The sequence below is a fragment of the Homo sapiens genome, chromosome 3 (assembly GCF_000001405.40).
Source record: "Homo sapiens chromosome 3, GRCh38.p14 Primary Assembly".
NCBI classification, from domain to species: Eukaryota; Metazoa; Chordata; class Mammalia; order Primates; family Hominidae; genus Homo; species Homo sapiens.
Window position 1 is genome coordinate 40,918,718 of NC_000003.12, and position 20,912 is coordinate 40,939,629.

Sequence of the window (20,912 nt, forward strand, 5' to 3'; positions counted from 1 at the left end):
TAACGCAGGCCAACTGCTGTCCTGTTTGTCCCTGAGGCGAGAGCGAGGAGATGCGAGGAACACAATGAAGGAGGGGACTCTAATGCTTCAAGGGGTACTGCCAATCATGGCACACGAGAAAACACATGCAATTCATAGTGCCAGTCAGCACTTACTTCGACTGAAAGAAAGTAAAATGAGGCAATAACACCCAGACCTTGCTAAAATGTACAATGTTTCCCTTTCTTACTCTCTTCATATATCTCCATATATCTCTCTTTGGGATGACTATTTTCTCCAAAGGAGACAGTGTCTGTTGGAATGTGTATGTATTTGAGGTGATCTATATCAGCATCTGTGATGGTTCATGTTCTGTGTCAACTTCACCAGGCTATGGCCAGCTGTTTGGTCAAACACCAGCCTAGATGTTGCTGTGAGGGTACTTTTTAGCTGTGATTAACGTTAACAATCAGTTGTCTTTGAGTGAAGATTAACATGAAATCAGTAGACTTTAAGTATGCAGAGTGCCCTCCGAATGACAGTGGGCCTTGTATAATCCATTGCAAGCCTTAAGAGCAAGATGGAGATTTCCTGAAGAAGAAGAAATTCCCCTCAAGACTGCAACATCAACTCTTGCCTGAATTTTCACAAATTTCAGATTTGCTAGCCCACACAATTGTGTGAGACAATTCCTTAAAGTCTCTCTATTATATGTAATATAAAGTTCAAAAGCTATAGAGAGAGAGCTTTCAGAAGTGCTCTCTCTCTCTGTATATGTATATATACACACATAGAATATGCATTATGTATAGATATATACATATAATCGAGTATGTATATGTATTCATATATATATACATATATACACACACACACACATATCCTATTATTTCTTTTTCTCTGATTTCTCTGGAGAACCTTAAGTAATGCATCATCCTTCTGAAAAGAAGATCTAGAACATTACAACCAACCACTGTCACAAAAGGACTCTAGTACCAATCAAGCTTGCTAGAATGAGGCTGTCACACCTGACTAGGAAGGTCCTTCTGCTGATTCTAGCAAGCTGAGGAAAATGGTAGAGGGTAGGTAGAGGGTAGGTAGAGGGTAGCTTTCCCAAGGCTCTTGGTTGACCACAGTTTGTTCTGCTTAAAATATAGTATATATGTTCTTAAGAAGTCTTGTTACAAAAGTACCCATAAAGACGAGCTTCAGTTGGAGAAGGAAGGGGATTCAGGCCTAGAGACTTTCAAATGCTCAGTAGTAAAGTCCTGTTTATCCTGTGGGAATTTTGATCATGATAATTTTTAATAGCTGCAGAATTAATCTGTAAAACCCAAACATCACTGAGCAGGGTTGGACCACATCTAGTTTTTGCTCGTGGGTTCAGGCCTTTCTTCCCCTTTCTCTGCCAGCAGTTTCATTAGTTTAGGGAGCCAAACCACATGAACAAAGTAGCCTCCTGCATTGAGGGTTGGTCCTAAGAACTGCTAGTTCGTCATTACCAGGCCAGACTAACCAAAGACTTCACCTGAAAAGCTAGCCTTGTCCTTAGGTAGTTCCCTCACATTCAATTAGCATTACAAAAACACATGGTGCAGGGAAAAGGCTCTCATTTCAGTGTGAGTCATCCTGTGGGCAACTTGTGATCAAGGTTTTTCAGCTGTGAGCTAGTAGAGTTAGGTGCAGAGATTTAAAGTCCCCTCATTCTTTTTTCTTTTAGTCAGTTCAGAAGCTAGAATTGGGGGTTTGCAATGCAATGGTAACCCCAAGAATGCATGGCATATTCCCTTAGAAAAGACTATTTAAAATCAGAAACCCAATTGGATGCTTCTGCCAGTATCTACCAAAGATTGATACTTTGATTCTACAGATGAGTCCTGCACACAAAGACGTGGAGACAAGGGGCACAGTTTGCACTGGGGAAGCTCGAGGTCTCTGACTCCACCTCACATGCCAACCATAGTGGGTTGTAGATATATCCCAGAATATATTCATTAATCTACAAATAACTATTGAGTGCCCGTGATATGCCCAGTACTTTTCTAGGTGCTGAAATCTGTGTGCCCAGTTTCCCAGAAATGGTCTGGGTACGGCACCTCTCTTAAGAATCTTTCATTACAGGGAGAGGTGTATGGAACTTGTGAGCTTGGCACTAGTACATGAGAATACTTGTGGCTACAGTGAGACAGAATATTCTTGATGGGAATATTACATGTTCCAGAAATCTGTATGCATAGGCCATAAATTAATTGCCTGATCACCTTACTTGGTACAAATTCCTCCAATTTCCTCTCCCACAACCCTACTAATGGGGAGTTTAAAAAGATGAAATGGCAAAGACACAGTGGTGCCCAGGCCACAGCTGGCCAAAGGTCCTGAGAGTTTTCAAACTGTATTTTGGTTTGGGGTTTTTTGTTGTTGCTGTTTTTTTTTTTTTTTTTAATTGTGAAATATACTTACTCAATTATCAGGCAGAAAGGAGAAGGAGAGCACCCTCAAATGTAGAATGTAATAAAGTGAGGACTAAACTCTGATCTTTTTCTTCTCTTGCCCAAATTCCTATCTAAGGGGACTGGAGAGTCATACCCTACAAACCATAAAATCTCATCAGAGGAGTTTCATTTAACCCTATATAATGTGGCCTGCTTTCCAATGTTGACTCTGGCACAATACCACATGCCAGACAGAAAAACGAAGGAAATCAAAATAATTTATCCCTGAATATGTTTCTTTGTCATATTTTTAAATGGCCTGCATAGCTGTTCAGTGGCGGTAGGTGGGGCAAGGGGATTGCATCTGTAAAGAATATCTATTACTATAACTAGATCTTTTCCCCTTCCAGTCTCTCCCAGTCCTGAAGAGATTAACTGAGAGTCCAACATCTTTTAGAGATCTGAATAGCAAACACTTGTCAACTAGAGTCTCTAAGGGCAGCCACGCATGAGGCTTCATGTACATAACAAGAACCGCAGTCTCCACAATCCCTTATCTTGAACCTGACACTCCTTTCTGTTGATTCCAGGACTTTAGATCATAATAACAATTCTTTCAACCAATTGTCAGCCAGAAACTCTTTGAATCCACCTATGACCTGTAAGCTCACCCCGCCCAACTTAGAGTTGTCCCGCCTTTTGAACCAAACCAATGCATACCCCATATGTATTGATCATGTCTCCCTAAAATGTATAAAACCAAGCTGTGGCCCAACAGCCTGGGCACCTACTCAGGGCCTCTTCAGACTGTGCCTCAGGCCTTGGTCACTAATATTTGATGCACAATAAACCTCTAAAATATATTACAGGGTTTGACTCTTTTCACTGACAAAAGGATAATTTTTGAAGATAAGGACAGGGTTAGGAAGACAATAGGAAGACAATAGATAAGGACAGGGTCAGGCCTTGGTCACTAATATTTGATGCACAATAAACCTCTAAAGTATATTACAGGGTTTGACTCTTTTCACTGACAAAAGGATAATTTTTGAAGATAAGGACAGGGTTAGGAAGACAATAGGAAGCAGGGAAGCACCTGGGGCCAATGGCTGTGGGGAGCACTTAGCTCCCCCAGTCCTGAGGTGGCAAAGGGAGGGTGCGACTACCTGCACGAGAGCTGTGGCCTTTGGGGAAGGACCACAGCATTCGTGTGTGGTTTGGCAGAGAGGGAGCAGAGGGGTAACCTCCCAACCTAATGTTCCCCTCATCCTGCAGTTTCCTGCCAGCACCTCCCATAGCCACACCAAAAACAGGGATGGGCCAGGCGTGGTGGCTCACGCCTGTAATCCTAGCACTTTGGGAGGCCGAGGAGGGCAGATTACCTGAGGTCAAGAGTTCAAGACCAGCCTGCCCAACATGGTGAAACCCTGTCTCTATTCAAAAATACAAAAAATTAGCTGAGTGAAGTGGCGTGTGCCTGTAATTCCAGCTACTTGGGAGGCTGAGGCAGGACAATTGCTTGAACCCAGGAGGCAGAGGTTGCAGTGAGCCCAGAGCGTGCCACTGCACTCTAGCCTGGGCTACAGAGTGAGGCTTTGTCTCAAAAACAACAACAACAACAACAATAACAACAAACAAAAACAGGAATGAAGGAGATGCTTGCTACAGTCCATAAAGATGAGCAGGATTGGAAGGGCAAATGGAAACTCACCAGCACAACTGCCATTCAAACAACGCATCAACAGCAAAAGTGCTAAAGCAGTTTGTATTGCTTGAACTCCTGCTCCAAGGTAAGGTGAGAGGCACCAGGAACTGCATTCTCTCATTTGATCCTCCTCACATAACAGTTGAGTTATGTGAACTTCTGGATAAGGATCAAATCTGAAACTCTTAGAGCCCCAGAAACAGAAACAGTGTTATATCCATGGGAGGCAGGAATGAGCAGTTCCTGTCAAACCATTTGAAAAGAAAAAGGGGACTCTGAACAGAATACGGGGGGACGGGGTCACTAACAACACAATAGCTCTCCCCACCTCGCCACGTGCACAACTCATAGCCTGGACTCCTGAGTTCTGGTCTCCAATTTGGCCACTAGCAAACCTACCTAAAGGAATGCTTGGTTCCTAGTCAGTTGTGTTGACACAGAGTGAATGGAAATGAATTACTTCTCACTTCCTGGTTTGGAGTCTGTAAAATTATCACACTGTCACAGAAACAAAATTAGTCAAAGCCCCAAGTGAGTCATTAAATTAACACCCCGTGAACTTGACTCTCCTTACTTGATTCATAAGACAGTTTACAATTTTAAACACCATTCTTGGGGAGGAAAATTTAAAAAGGGCTTGTGTGGAACTTTCTAGATTGACTTCTGGGATCGCCCAACTGATGGACATCCTCCATTTTTAATACATTGCCCTGTTGTTGACCCTGTTGTCAGGTTTGGTCGTTTGTGATTGCATGCAGGTGACTTTCTGTAGCTAGAATTCCACACCCTCATAGTATTAGAATCTGGTTTACCAGTTAGGATTGCATTGACCCTTGCAGTGAGCCTCTGATGCCGGCTGGAACTCAAACTCAGAGAGGGAGTGTTCATAGGCTCCCTAAGGGTTGGCTGCATTGGCACTTTTACAACCTGTGTTAATGGCCAGAAGCATATTCCTTGACCAGTAGGCTTGTTCTTATGGGCAGTGGATGAGGCCAGCCTAGCTCACCAGGTGATGGGTCATTAGGTAGCTGGGAGGTGGGAGGCCAGAGGTCACAACCTCCTCTTTGTCTAGCGTGTGAGATGAGGAAAGTGACTCCTGGGTTAAATACCCATCTGTGCTGCCCATGGTTCTTGGTGAGAGTCTAGCATCCCATAAAACTGAGCCAGCCTTGTTCGGCCCCACCCCCCGACTCCCACCTCAAGTGCTGAGCACCTGCCTATCAGCCCTCAAGCCCTCCCCTGCCCTGCTCTGTGCTGCAGATGCCAGCCATGCAAACTGCAATTCCTAGGCTTCCTTGTCTACTGGCTTCTGCTTAGGTTTGGCTGATGGAAGGAAGACAGACAGGACATTGGAGGGTGGGAGGGAGGAGGGTAGAAGCCAGGGTTTCTCCCCTTATCTCTCGGCTTTGGCTCTCATGTCTCAGGCAGTGGCAGCATCTTCTTCATGGATCCAGCTCACACCTTCAGGGCTCAGGTGACAGCACCTCCACCTTCGTTCCTCCTACCTTAACTGTTGCTGACCTCTAGGTCACCTCACTGTCTCCTTCTATGTGCCCTATCAGCTTTTCTACTAACTCCAGTCCCCTACACCAAATTCCTAGCATGGGTTCTGTCTTCCTGTCTGGAACCATCTGATCCTCTGCCTCTCTTTTTATTACTTAAATAGGCTCTGCTACTTGCTCTTTCTAGTGTCTTCTGCAAAGATCCAAAATGCCTCTATACTTTCCACTAAGAGATCCCTCCCTTCCTTGGTCCTGGCCAGCCCAGAGCAGTCTGGACTTCGGATTCCTGGAGAAGGGTCTCTTTACAGAACAAGCAAGGCCTAGGACCTTGAGCCCAAGGTGGCAAGCAGCCAACTCACTTCTACCTCCCTGAATTCTGAAAAAGCCCAGAGATCCCAGCATTTGCACAAAAGGTCACTGCTCATTTTAATCAAACCACATTGCTCTGAATGGCTGGGCTGTGGCCTTCAGTCAAGATTTCCTGCATGGCAGATTTTCTCTCCTCTTGGACAACAGTGATACTTGCTGCAAGCATCCAATAGGGCTTGAAATTACCCTGGCAAGTTGTTTACTCTTCTTGAGAGTGGCACTAGGCTCTGAGCAGTGTTTGTCTAGCACCGTCATTATTTTTATTAACTATACCCTTGCACTTCCAAAGTGTGCTGTAAGCTCTGTAAATATTTTATTAGCCTTTGTAATTAGTCGTTGCATTTCACAGCCCTGCTGAGAAGTGGGTCAGTGTGACAATCCCCATTTTACCACTGATGTGGAAAAGAGCCACCCAGAGATAGGAAAGAGGCCTTGGATTTGAGGGCAGAGGGTACAGTTCTTTCTCTTTCAAGGGAAGGCATGGACTTTGCTGGAGTTTATAGGGATCTGATAGTGTGCAAATACTGAATAAGAAGAACAACTCTCCGTCCCCTGCAAATGGATGAAATTCCCTTACACAGGAAGGTGTTGAGAACTGGATTTTAAAAATAGGAAAAGTGGCTAATGCATAGAAGCTGCTATCTCATAGTAGCCACCCAAGAACCTCAGTTCCCACTGCTCTCCCTTTCTTGCCTTCTCATTACTACCTAACGCTTGATTTATTCACCCTTGGAGGGGGATGGGGAGCAGGAAGAAACAAAGACAGCTGCGGTCTTCAAGGAGTGTGGTCCAAGAATGTGACCTGTAAAATCTCTTATTGGAGATAGTTTATTTGTTTTCTTTTGTGATCAAGTATATGTTGATTTCTAAACATGTTTTCCAGGGTGAACAAAATCATAGACAGCTATTAAATTAGCTTGTTGGCTGTAATATTTAAATGCTTTCTACATTGCTTATTTTTAATGCCTTAATATACTGAATAATGAAAGCTGTAATAAAACCTTCTACTATCATTGTGATTTTATAAAATTCTCCTTATATTTCTAGGAGTTTTTGCTCTTTAGTTTGCTATTATATTTTTGAATGCACAAAGGTCTGTAGCTGTTCTATCGTCCTCAAGGATTATTTCTTTTATCATAAACAATCTAGTTCTTTTCTTCAATTCATGGTGTAAGCCTCAAATTAAGTTTTATAGTAAAATGTCATCTTTCTTGTTTTTTAATTGTTTGCATTTGCCTGGTATATCTTTGATCTCTAAAATCAAGATTAAAATAAACATTTCTTTATTTTTTTGCTTTTAAGTATGTCTCATACACTTTATACAGATGCAAATTTTGTGGGGTTTTATTGTAGCCTGAGAGTCCTTTTTTTTTTTCAAGAAAAAGGAGAAGTCAACTCATTTATGATTATTAGTTTAAATGGTATATTTATTTTCCTTTTGTTCATGTTTTCTATTTATTATACTTGTTGCTACTGATTTATTTTTTTGTTAGTATGTGCTTGACTGAGTTTTTTTTCTATACTACCACCCCCCAACTACCACCATTAATTTCCAACTGTTATTATGCTTCTCCATTTTGCTAGTGGGTTCCTCCCTATCTTCATTACCATATTTAAGCCTATATTTCCCATTGATATATGAGATGAAACAATGGCCATTCTGTCCCCAACAAGACATTTTGCCAGCCCAATTCCCTTTACCACTCCTTGTGAAGGGAACTTTGGAGCATTTCTTACTTATTATAGCATTTCTTTCCTCCTTCAACTTTCAGTTTTGCTAAGAAATTATCAATTCTAAACCATTAGTTTTCCTTTTCAAGTATTTATCTACTGCTGCAAAAATTCTGCATTTACACTTTGCATTTCCTTGTTATAGTATCATCTTCCATTTAGATCTTTTTTAGAAAGTAGGTTATTTAATTTCTTTCCATTTTTGCCTTTGTTTAAAAGTTTTTAATCATTTTAGACTTTTCTTGGGTTTGCCAAGAAAGCAAAGGCTGACTGGGACTATGATCCAGAGGATGGCATGAGTGTCCAGACAGTGACAGTGGGAAGGAGGACGATAGGACAAAGATGCACTATTGCTCAGCCATGACTGCAGGTGACTGTTTGCTCTATCCAGGGAGATGCCATGAATCCTGTCTCAAAACTGTCTGTCCAGAGGAAGAAAGAGGATGTGTTTATCCACCAGCTCAGGACTCTCCACTGGTCAAAAGTTTGCCTTCTGCAGCGTTAACTCCCTTGCATTTCCAGGTTGCACAGATGTGGGAAGTGAGTGGGTTCCCACAGTGGCTCCTGCCTGGGATTTCACAGAGAAGCCCAAGAGCATGAAGTCAGAAGCATAGGGCATGGATCTGAGGCAAGACACTGTCAGGTTACACCTGCAGGAAGCTGGTCAGATCCTGTGTAGAACTGGTTACCACAGCTAAGGTTTGAATAACACAGGTGAGGTAGAAACTACCTGAAGCAGTACACAGAGGGTTTACAATGCAAGTGTAGTGCCTACAAATAGTTACACAGTCAAATCATATCAAAAGATTTAGAATAAAGAATTACAATTCTCCTGCAACCCTTCCAGTCCCCAAGCCCACTTCCTAGAAGCAGTTTATTTTTGCCTCCTTGAACTGTTTTCTCCTGATATTAACCTGCATATTTCTAAGTAATTTTATATTGCCAGTGTTTAGAATCTACTGATCCCCTGTTTAAATGATTTAAAATTTCATAGTAATATCACCAAAGGCCACTTCTCTGCTCCCATCCTTCTAAATGCTAACTAGTTTTTTTAATACAGTCAATGTTTACATTATTGTGCCTATGTAAATGACATTCACAGTGGAAAGCAGAGTATTATATTTTTTCCTGTACTCTTTTTCATTTTCCTGAAGTTAATGGTCACCTGGTTTTATTCATTGACCTGGGCTTTTTTATGTAACTATATTTTTTTCCCACATGCTGCATCTGATTTATATCACATACTTACCAGTGTTTTCTTTTGGAATACTCCATAATATCAGATGACCTTTGAGTAAACAGTTCCCTTTTATTCCCTTTAGATCCCTCTTTTGGAGCCTTGTCTCTTCTGCGATCCGAGAGGACTGGTTCCCTAGACTTGCTACAAAATCCTTAGCAAGAGACTTCCCTTTGTGGTATTTTCTGTTGGAGACCATTTCTTGGACTCCATGTCTTCCTATTTCTTGGTTTACTCCCTTAATTTACTACAGTACCTCTCCCACGAAAGCAGTTATCTCCCACGAAAGGATGCCTTATGGGTTCTGTTTTTCAATCCATGCCTTTATTACTCCTTCACACTTAAATACTTTGATTGCCTCTATAATTATAGGTGAATTTGGAAGATGTTTTTTCTTTGTCTTCTAACATCCAGTATTGCCCTTAGGAAGACCCATCCCTGCCATTCTGACTTTTAGTTTTCTGTCTTTTTTTTTTCTCTCTGGAAGAGTTTCGGAGTTCTGATATACCTGTGATATTCTAAAATCTCATAGTTTCATATTGGAGAGGATACTTTTTCACTCATTGTATTGAGCCCTATCTGGGCCCTTTCAATGAAAAAGAAATGTATCTCACTTTTTTAGCCATTTTCTTTCAACAATTTGCTCTTTTTCTGGAACTCATCAATTTGATACTGAATGTCTTAAATTTATTCTTTGGGTATTTTGTCATTTTTCCATTTTTTCCATCATCTTTTTTCACAATTTCCTATGCATGTTTTATACATGTGACATTTTATTTCATTTCTTCTCTTATTCAGCTTTTATAATAAGCACTTAAAAGGCACTCTATAACTGGTTAAGTAAATGTACTTCTCTGGGGATGATATAATTATTTTTATTATTTCAGAGTTTTCTTCTGTTTTGGGTATTATCTTTTATCTCCAGACTCCTTTTAATTTCTTACTTTTATTTGATATCTTTCTTCATGTATGAAGTTGAGCCAGTTAAAATTGGGATTGGGGCAGAGCAATTAGGCAAGAAAAAGAAATGAAGGGCATCCAAATAAAAAATTAAAAATAAGTAAGTCAGATTAGCCTTGTTCACAGATGACATGATCTTATACCTACAAAAATCTAAAGACTCCACCAAAAAACTATTAGAACTGATAAACAAATTCAGTAAAGCTGCAGGATACAAAATCAACATACAAAAATTGGTAGCAATTACATACACCAACAGCAAACAATCTGAAAAAGAAATCAAGAACACAATCCCATTTACAACAGTTACAAAAATATAAAATACCTAGGAATCAATGTAACCAAAGAAGTGAAAGATCTCCACAAGAAAAACTATAGAACTCTCATGAAAGAAATAGAAGAGGGCACAAAAGAATGAAAAGATAGTCCATGCTCATGGATTGAAAGAATTAATATTGTTAAAATGACAATACTACCCAAAGTAATCTACAGATTCAATGCAATCCCTATTTAAATATCAATGACATTCTTCACAAAAATAGAAAACAATATTCCTAAAATGTGTATGGAACTAAAAAAGACCCCAAAGAGCCAAAGCAATCCTGAGCAAAAAGGATAAAGCTAAAGGCTCACACTACCTAACTTCAAATTTTATCAAAAAGTTATAGTAACCAAAACAGCATGGTATTTGGCATAAAAACAGACACACACAGCAATGGAACAGAATAAAGAACGCTGACATAAATCCACACATTTACAGCTTACTCATCTTTGACAAAGGTGCCAAAAACAGTCTTTTCAATCAATGATGCTGGGAAAACTGGATAACTATATGCCAAAGAATGAACTAGATTCATTTCTCTCACCATTCACACACACACAGAATCAAAATGGAACCAAAATGTATTAAAACCTTGAATCTAAGACCTCAAAGTATGAAGCTACTAGAAGGAAACATTGGGGAAATTCTCCAGGACATTGGTGTAGGCAAAAAATTTTTGTGTAAGACCTCAAAGGCACAGGCAACCAAAGCAAAAATAGTCAATTGAGATTATATCAAGATAAAAAGCTTCTGCACAGCAAAGGAAATAATCAACAAAATGAAGAGATAACCCATAGGATGGGAGAAAATGTTTGCAAACTATCCATATGACAAGGGATTCATAACCAGAATTCATAAAGAGCTCAAACAACTCAACAGCAAAAAACAAAACAAAACTCCACAAATAATCCAATTTTAACATGAACAAAAGAAGGAGGCAGAGCAAGATGGCTGAACAGAAGCCTACACGATTTGTCACCCCTGTAGGAGCACCAAATTTTAACAGCTAGCTACCCACAAAAAGCATCATCACAAGAATTAAAAATCAGGTGAACAATCACAGTACCTGGTTTTAACTTCTATCAGTGAAAGAATTATTGAAGAGAGCAAGAAAGACAGTCTTGAAGTGCTGATGCCACCTGTTCCCCATTCCTCAGAAGTGGCTGCATGGTGTGGAGAATCTGTGTGCTTTGAAGAGGGAGAGTGTGGTGATTATGAGGTTTTGCACTGAACTCAGTGCTGCCCCATCACAGTGGAAAGCAGAACTGGGCTGTACTCAGCTGACATCTGCCCACAGAGGGAGCATTTGGACTGGCCCTAACCAGACAGAATTATCTATCCCAGCATGACTTGATAAAAGCCCTGCCACTGTGTGCTGGAGTGCTCTGGGGCCCTAAGTGAACTTGAGGGGCAGTCTAGGCCACAGGTGTTGCAATTCCTATGCAAGTCCTGGTGCTGAGCTGGGCTCAGAGCCAGTGGACTTGGTGGGCAGGGCACACAAACTACTGAGACACCAGCCAGGGTGGCTAAGAGAGGGCTTGTTCCACCTCTCCCTCACCCTCTGGTAGCAGCCATGCAGTGCAAAGAAATCTGTGCACTTGGGAGAAGGAGAGCACAGTGACTAGGGAACTTTACATTGAACTCAGTGCTGCCCTGTCACAGCAGAGACCTGGTAGGATTCACCAACTGCTGACTAAAGAGCCCCTGGTCCCTGAATAACCAAGAACAATACATTGGTAATATGCTGTGGGCCTTGGGCTCTGAGACTTACTGGCTTCAGGTGTGATCCAGAACATTCACACCTGTGGTGGCTATGGTGAAGGACTCCTTTTGTTTGAGAAAATCAGGTGGGAAAAGTAAAGGGGACTCTGTATTGCACCCTGGGTAACAACTTGGCCCCAGGAGGGTAGAGCACCAAGTAGGTTCTTAGGGTCCCAAGTCCAGGTCTAGGCTCTTAGTCAGCATTTCTGGACCTGCCCTGGGCCAGAGGGGAGCTTGCTGCCCTAAAGGTTGAGTCCTAGGCAGCATTCATCATAAGCTGACTGAAGAGGCCTTGGGCTTTAAGTAAACATTGGCAGTGCCCTGGCAGAATGCCCTATGGATCAGTGCTCATGGTGGCCACATGGAGAGGAGGCTCCTCTGCCTTTGGAAAGGGGAAGGAAAAGTGGAAAGGACTTAATTTTGCAGTTTGAGTGACAGTTTAGCTGCAGTAAAATAGAACACCAGGTAAATTTCTAGGGTTCCTAGAGAGTATTTCTGGAATTCTGAGGCCTGGGGTTGCCACCCTGAAGGGAGGGATGCAAACCTGGCTGGCTTTGCCACCTACTCATTGTAGAGCCCTGAGTGAACCAGGTGGTTACAGTGAGCTTTGGGCAAAACCCAGTGCTGTGCTGGCTTCAGGTCTGAACCAGCACTATCACTGTCGTGGTAGTGACAGGAATGCTTGTGTTCCCCCTAACCCCAGTTCCAGGAGGCTCAGATCAAAGACAGAGACTCTGTTTGTTTGGGAGAGAGTAAGGAAAAAGAACAAGAGCCTCTGCCTGGTAACCCAGATAATTCTTCTGGACGTTATCCCACACCACCAAGGTGATACCTGTATAAGTCTGCAAGAACCACAGTGTTATTGGGTTGGGGCTCAAGTTCCTTCAAACACCTGGAAAGCCTGGAAGGACAGGCACAAATAGTCCCAGACTGTGAAGACTACAATAAATGCCTAGCTCTTCAATGCCCAGACACTGATGAACAAGTACAAGCATCAAGACCATTGAGGAAAACATGATCTCGCCAAATGAACTAAGTAAGGCACCAGGGACCAATCCTGAAGGAACAGAGATATGTGACCTTTCAGACAGATAATTTAAAATTAGTATTTAAAGGAAACTCAAAGAAATTCAAGATAACACAGAGAAAGAATTCAGATTTCTATCAGATAAATTTAACAAAGAGATTGAAATAATTAAAAAGAATCAAGCAGAAATTCTAGAGTTGAAAATGCAATGGACATAACAAAGAATGCATTAGAGTCTCTTAATAGCAGAATTGATCAAGCAGAAGAAAGAATTAGTGAGCTTGAAGACAGGCTATTTGAAAATACACAGTCAGAGGAGACAAAAGAAAAAGGAATAAAAAAGAATAAAGCACGCCTACAAGAATTAGCAAATAGGCTCAATAGGGCAAATCTAAGAGTTATTGGCCTTAAAGAGGAGGTAGAGAATGATAGAGGTAGAAAGTTTATTTCAAAGGATATTAGATAACTTTCCAAACCTAGAGAAAGATATCAATATTCAAGTACAAGAAGGAACACCAAGCCGATTTAACCCAAAGAAGTCTACCTCAATGCATTTAACAATCAAGATCCCAAAGGTAAAGGATAAAGAAAGGATCCTAAAAGCAGCAAGAGAAAATAAACAAATAACATGCAATGGGGCTCCAATATGTCTGGCAGCAGACTTTTCAGTGGAAACCTTACAGACCAGGAGAGAGCAACATGACATATATAAAGCACTGAAGGAAAAAAAATCTTTTACCCTATAATAGTATATCCAGTGAAAATATCCTTCAAACTTGAAGGACAAATAAAGACTTTCCCAGATAAACAAAAGCTGAGGGATTTTATTAACATCAGACCTGTCCTACAAAAAATGCTAAAGGGAGTTCTTCAAGTTGAAGGAAAAGGATGTTAATGAGCAATAGAAATCATCTGAAGATACAAAACTCGCTGGTAATAACGCACAGAAAAACACAGAATATTATAACACTGTAATTGTGGTGTGTAAAATATTCTTAAGTAGAAAGGCTGAATGATGAACCAATCAAAAATAATAACTATAACAACTTTTCAATACATAGTATAATAAGACATAATAAGAAACAACAAGAAGTTAAAAAGTGGGGGAGCAAAATTAAAGTGTATCATTTTTAATAGTTTTCTTGGTGCTTATTTGTTTATACAGACAGTGTTAAGTTGTCATCAGTTTAAAATAATGGTTTACAAGATCATATTTGGAAGCCTCATGGCAACCTCAAGTGAAAAAATCATACAATGAATACAATCTGCAAGAAATAAAATCACCTTCACTAAAAGGAAGACAGAAAGGAAGGAAGAAGGAAAGAGAAGATGATAAAGCAACCAGAAAACAAATAACAAAATGGCAGGAGTAAGTCCTTATTTATCAATAATAACATTGAATGTAAATGGACTAAACTCTATAATCAAAAGACACAGAGTGGATTAAACATGCACATGCATACACACACACACACACACACACACACACACACACACACACACACACACACACACACCCCAATGATCTGTTGCCTACAAGAAACACTTCACCCATAAATATACACATAGACTGAAAATAAAGGGATGGAAAAAGATTTTCCATGCCAGTGGAAAGCAAAAAATAGCAGGACTAGCTAAATTTAGACAAAATAGATTAGATTTCAAGACAAAGGCTGTAAGAAGATACAAAGGTCATTATATAATGATAAAAGAGTCAATTCAGAATGTAGATATAATAATTGTAAATATATATGCACCCAGCACTGGAGCACTCAGATATATAAGCAGTATTATTAGAGCTAAAGAGAGAGATAAGCCTCAATACAATAATAGTTGGAAACTTCAACACCCCACTTTCAGCATTGGACAGATCTTCCAGACAGAAAATCAACAAAGAAACATCAGACTTAATCTGCACTACATAACAAATGGATCTAATAGATATTTACAGAACATTTCATCCAACAGCTACAGTATACACATTCTTCTCCTGAGCACATGGATAATTCTCAAAGATAGCCCATATGTTAGGCCACATAACAAGTTTTGAAACAGTCAAAAATGGAAATAATATCAACCATCTTCTCTAACCACAATGGAATAAAACTAGAAAACAATAAGAAGAGGAATTTTGGAAGCTATACAAACACATGGAAATTAAGCAATATGCTCCTGAATGACCAGGAGATCAATGAAGAAATTAAGAATGAAATTGAAAAATTTCTCGAAACAAATGTTAATGGAAACACAACATAGCAAAACAGATGGAATACAGTGAAAATAGTACTAGGAAGGAAATTTATAGTTGTAAGTGTTTACATCAAAAAGGAAGAAGAACTTCAAACAAGTAACATTAACAATGCATCTTAACTAGAAAAGCAAGAGAAAATCAAACCCAAAATCAGCAGAAGAAAAGAAATAATAAAGATCAATGAATTTGAAATGAAGGAAACAATATAAAAGATCAATGAAATGAAAAATGGGTTTTTTGAAAAGAAAAATAAAATTGACAAACCTTGAGCCAGACTAAGAAAAAAAGAGAGGACCCAAATAAATAAAATCAGAGATGAAAAAGGAGACATTACAGCTGATACTGCAGAAATTTAAAGGATTGTTAGTGGCTACTATGAACAACTATAGGCCAACAAATTGGTAAACCTAGATGAAACAATAGATTTCTAGACACATACAACCTGCCAAGATTGAACCATGAAGAAATCTAAAACCTGAACAAACCAATAACAAGTAAAAAGATCAAAGCCATAATAAAGAGTCTCCCAGTAAAGAAAAGCCTGGGACCTAATGGCTTCACTGCTGAATTCTGCCCAAACATTTAAAAAAGAACTAATACCAGTTCCCTACTCCAAAAAATAAAGGAGGGGGGAATACTTCCAAACTCATTCTATGAGTCCAATATTACCCTCATACCAAAACCAGACAAAGACACATCAAAAAATGAAAACTACAGGCCAATATCCAGCCTCTGGTAACCAACCACTAGTCTACTCTCTGCTTCTATGGGTTTGACTTTTTTAGATTCCACATGTAAGTGAGATCATGTGACATCTGTTCTTTCTATGCCTGTTGGTCAAAGGATACAAAATTTCCATTAGATAACAGGAATAAGCTCAAGAAAACTATTGTACAACATACTGACCGCAGTTAATGCCAATATGTTATAAACTTGAAAATTACTGAGAATAGATTTTGTGTGCTAACCACAAAAATGTGGTACATACATGAGGTAATGCATCTGTTAATTAGTTTGATTTTGCCATCCCACAATGTATACACAAATCAAAATATCATGTTGTAAACCATACATTCCTTTTTTATTTATCAACAAAAAAGAAAATAAATTAAAAATGCAAATTTTCAATAAATAAAAGTGAGACACTAAAAGTCTGATTCTTCATGGGTGGGATTGTCAACTGGAGGATTTCTCTGTGAGATGATCAGTTGGAGAACTGACAATTCTAACAAAGTCTGCAAAATGTCAGCAAATTACTGTCAGTTTTGTAGTGTCCTCAAGGATGGCTTTTACTCACAGAAAGTATCATTTAAAGGTTTGTTGTATTTTGTTTAAGATTTAATGTTCAATTTATTAAAGTTATAATTTTTTTATTATTATACTTTAAGTTTTAGGGTACATGTGCACATTGTGCAGGTTAGTTACATATGTATACATGTGCCATGCTGGTGCACTGCACCCACTAACTCGTCATCTAGCATTAGGTATATCTCCCAATGCTATCCCTCCCCCCTCCCCCCACCCCACCACAGTCCCCAGAGTGTGATATTCCCCTTCCTGTGTCCATGTGATCTCATTAATTTTTAAGTCCTCTTTCTTTTGTAAATTTTGACTTGTACTTACAAATGTTATGATTGAATTTATAAGTCTTGCAGATCTTAGAAATCATTCCAGAGAGGTATTTGAGTATTTGTTCCTATTTACAAACATAATTTATTAGATACAGTTAAATATTTTAAAATGCATATATAAACTGAAAATATTCAGTTTTCAAGTATTTTATTTTTTTCTGAATTAACAAACTTCCTGAGCACATAAATAATTTTTGCATTTAAAATATTAAATTTACGTATATGTTAAATGTAAAGTTAATTTAAATATTCTAATTCAACCTACAATTACATATCTAAAACAAATATTGAGTACACATTTTAAATTTGAGTTCAAGGTTTTCATTTATAATTAGCCAAATTCTAGCATTATAAATACCTAAAATGTCAAATATGAAAAGATTGCCTTTTAACAAAAAATATGAATGCAATGATTTCTATTCTTTTAAGCCTTTCTATTCTTAATTCTAAATCTTGCTGGGGTTTAAAGATGCCTACCCACTAAAGAAGTAAAATTCTGCTCAGGCAGCCAGGGTTACTTCCTATGAGAGATTTTGTCAGACCTGGAGCTGCAGAAACTCAGAACGATCCTTCTCTCTACCCTTACTGTTGTACTGAGCCCCTCTTAGGTATGTCAAAAAAAACATGAAATCAGCACTTTTATACTGTTAATAAAGACATTTATATCATAGGCTTCAAAGCACAAAGAGGCAGTATTCTCATATCTCTCATTACCTAATTCTCTAGGCCACACAGTTCTTACACATATCTAAAATGACATTTGAGTGAATTTGATGTATCTTCATGAAAACCATTTTCAGGAGCTCTTCTACTTTCTTCCCCCGTTGACCAAGGGTCAAATAGTACCTTCTAACATTGGTTTATACTCACTTCTGTATTCTTTACTGGCATAACTAATAAGTTGATAATGCCCACAGATAGCAAGGTAAGAAATGAGATTGGGCCCAGTGCAGTGGCTGATTCCTGTAATCCCAGCACTTTGGGAGGCTGTTGGCTTGAGCCCAAGAACTCCAGAACTGCCTGGGCATCATGGCAAAACCTCATTTCTACAAAGAAATACAAAAATTAGCCAAGCATGGTCGGTACACCTGTCAACCCAGCTACACAGGAGGCTGAGGTGTGAGGTTCATCTGATCCTGGGGAGGTTGAGGCTGCAGTGAGCCAATACTGCGTCACTGCACTCCAGCCTGTGTGACAGAATGAGACCCCAAATCAAAAAGGAAAGGAAAAGGAAGAAAGAAATGAGATCCAACAGCAATGCATTGCAATCCCACTTATCTTCATGTTAATTATTCAGCCTGGGGATATTTATCTTCTTCCCAGGTTATTGCTTCAGTCTCTTTTCTGAGGAGTGCATGCCTTCTGGGGAGGGTTGGAAAGGAAAGCTGTAGGGGAGATCCTCTGGTCAGGATGCAGACTTTCACTTAATTCCCCTAGGTTAGTTAAGCTTGAGTCATTGCCTCCTACCCTTGACTGTGTCTGGTGTCTTCTGTCTTCTAACTCTTTCCAAGTCAATCTACCCAGGCCTCTTCCTGTGAAGAGGCAGTAATGAGTCTCTCACTTGCCTTGCTCCCCTTGCCGCACCCCACTTTAGAATTAAAGTTGCTATCTGCCTCCTTGATACACAGAGAGTCTCTCCCAAGGGCAAGAACCACCCCCAGTCCAACACAAAAACCACCTAGATGGTGCCTGACAAAATAATGTTTGCTTCATAGTTTGGCTTTTATCTCACTTTACTTCCCCTGCAGGTTTCTAGAAAAGTCTTTATCCTGTTCTCCAGAGAGCAATGTATATTTGGTTACTTATCAGTGAAAGCTGCTCAGGAATCACTGCCTGGGCAGCCACAATGGAAGGGCTGCCCCATCTGGTAGGCGGCTCCAGCCCCTGACAGAGCCAGTCGTCTGGGTCCCCAGATCTAAGCCACCAGCTCAGCCATCTGGGGTCCTGCAGAACCATCTCGTTGGTCTATAAAAGCCAGGTTGTCTGGGTCTCCCATTCCTGCATGATGGGTCCACAGTGCAGAGTTCACTTCCTGGCCGCCATCTTGCAGAAGTCATGAGAAATACAACTGCTGCAATTATGCAGCGAAAAAAGAAAGGCCATATGGCACACCTTTGATGAATAATCAGCTAAGTAGACGATCAACTCCAAAACAATGGTATAAATGGCCCTGTCCCCCTAGGCATCTCCCAAGAATATTGCTATAAATCTTCACGAAGTGTTTAAAAAGTACTTATTAGCTTCTGGAAAAATGTCCTAAGTATAATTTATTTTGGCGCTGTGAGGATGGTTTCTGCAAATTTTTCAAAACTTGTTCTCTTGGGGAGGGACTCTCTCACTGGAACTCTGCTGAGTCTGATGGCTGGGATTGCTGGAGCTCTCACCCTCATGATTCAGATGCCATAACCAATCATGGAGGCAGGTTACTGTCACGAGTTTACCAACGGGAAAACTGAGATTCAAAGAGGGAAGTGTCCCCCTCCCCCGGGTCACACTGTCCTGCAGTGACGGGGTTGGCACTGAGAACATGGGTTTCAACGTCTGCGCTTTTGCTGTCATCCAAAGCTGCTTCCATGATTGGTGAAAGGAGAAGCCAGAGACTCTAGTTTGGCCGTTTCCAGCACTTCTCTGTGGCTGTTCTCTGTTCCTGAGACATGTGGATTGTGATCTGTACCTCTTGGATGCTCTACTACTCCACTGGGTTCTCATGCACAGAACGTTGAATTGGAGACATTGTTATACCTTGGAGTAGCCTACTCAACGAAAAAAATGTAAAGTGACTGCTCATAGTGTGACATGGCTCTAGAGAATGTGTTTCAATCCATAGCTTCAGAAATTAAAATATTCTAATCTAAGACTTAGTTTTGACCTCTAACAAGGAGAGTAAATAAGCAAACCCAGACAACACAAGCCCTGAGCAAGGGTCACAGAAGCCTAGCCTAGCATTTTAGCAATTAAGGGTACTTGTCCATAAAGCACTTAAAAATCCATTTAGACCATCCAAGTCGGTTCAAGCTCTTTAATCTTGGATAAAGTAAACAAGATTGTTTTTAAGGTTTTTTTTTTTTTTTCTATTTTAAAGTAAGAATATTGGAAGAGAAAAAACTAAGACACTCAAGGCCAGACCTTTGGACCCCAGTAATGTGTAACAGCTGCAGATGCTGGTGAGACCTTTTGGTGATATTTTCAGTCTGCTAATGCCAGCTCACCCTTTCACAGATTGAAAACAACTCATCTCTTTGAAGTACCCTTTTCAATTGCACCTCGAAAATTCCTTAAGGGCAGGACCCAGACATTATTCTGTACCCCACAAAGTGTAGTTCAGCCCATGGGGTCTCAGCAAATGCTTGTTAAGAGATGGCTCGTTGGAAGCAGCAGGCTTTGCCCTCCTCAACAATGGACAAATCTCACCACAGCCCTCAGGCACTGCACTATGCAGCCAAACCAACTCCCTTTCCATTCTGAATCTCTGCCTCCCTGTTTTGCACATACTGGCTACACACCCGAAGCACAGTTCTATCTTTCTTTCTTCATTCTATCTCCCTCAGCTGAAGGGACACCTCAGAGGAGCTTTCCCTGACCTCTTTGGCAGTTCCCTCGTTTATTTTTCTGCTACCAGTCTCTTGGCAGTGAGTTCTGGAAGGCATGGACTACTACATGTTTCCCTGTGTTTATTTGTTCAATGTCTGTTTTCCCACCAAACTCCAAGAAGGCAGGGACAAGTGCTTTATTCACCTCTGTATCCCCAATGCCCAGCACAAGGCCTGCCAGCGTGTGTACTGAGTTGAGCTGAATAACTTAGACATCAAGAAGACCAGGCTAAACAAATCTCAATTTATTCTCCCTTCCAGTTCAAGTCTTAAAGGATAATGTGTCCTTTAACCAACATGGTTCAGACAGCTGATTAGTCATCGAAGGCCACAAAACTCCAAGTTTACTGGGTGTGACACTCCAAAGTATGGATTTCAGGAGCCAGAGGAGAAACATCATGGGGTTCTTGTCTGA

General features: G+C 40.2%; 2 annotated features.

Moving 5' to 3' along the window:
* Positions 1,250–1,799: an enhancer, noted in NCBI's record as "NANOG hESC enhancer chr3:40961458-40962007 (GRCh37/hg19 assembly coordinates)". NCBI's record gives its function as "activates a minimal SCP1, AML or CMV promoter by ChIP-STARR-seq in naive H9 embryonic stem cells {active_cell/tissue: H9 hESC(naive)}" and the evidence as "EXISTENCE:reporter gene assay evidence [ECO:0000049][PMID:30033119]".
* Positions 11,401–11,695: a silencer, noted in NCBI's record as "tiled region #10975; K562 Repressive non-DNase unmatched - State 13:Ctcf". NCBI's record gives its function as "represses a minimal TATA promoter and a strong SV40 promoter by Sharpr-MPRA in K562 cells {active_cell/tissue: K562}" and the evidence as "EXISTENCE:reporter gene assay evidence [ECO:0000049][PMID:27701403]".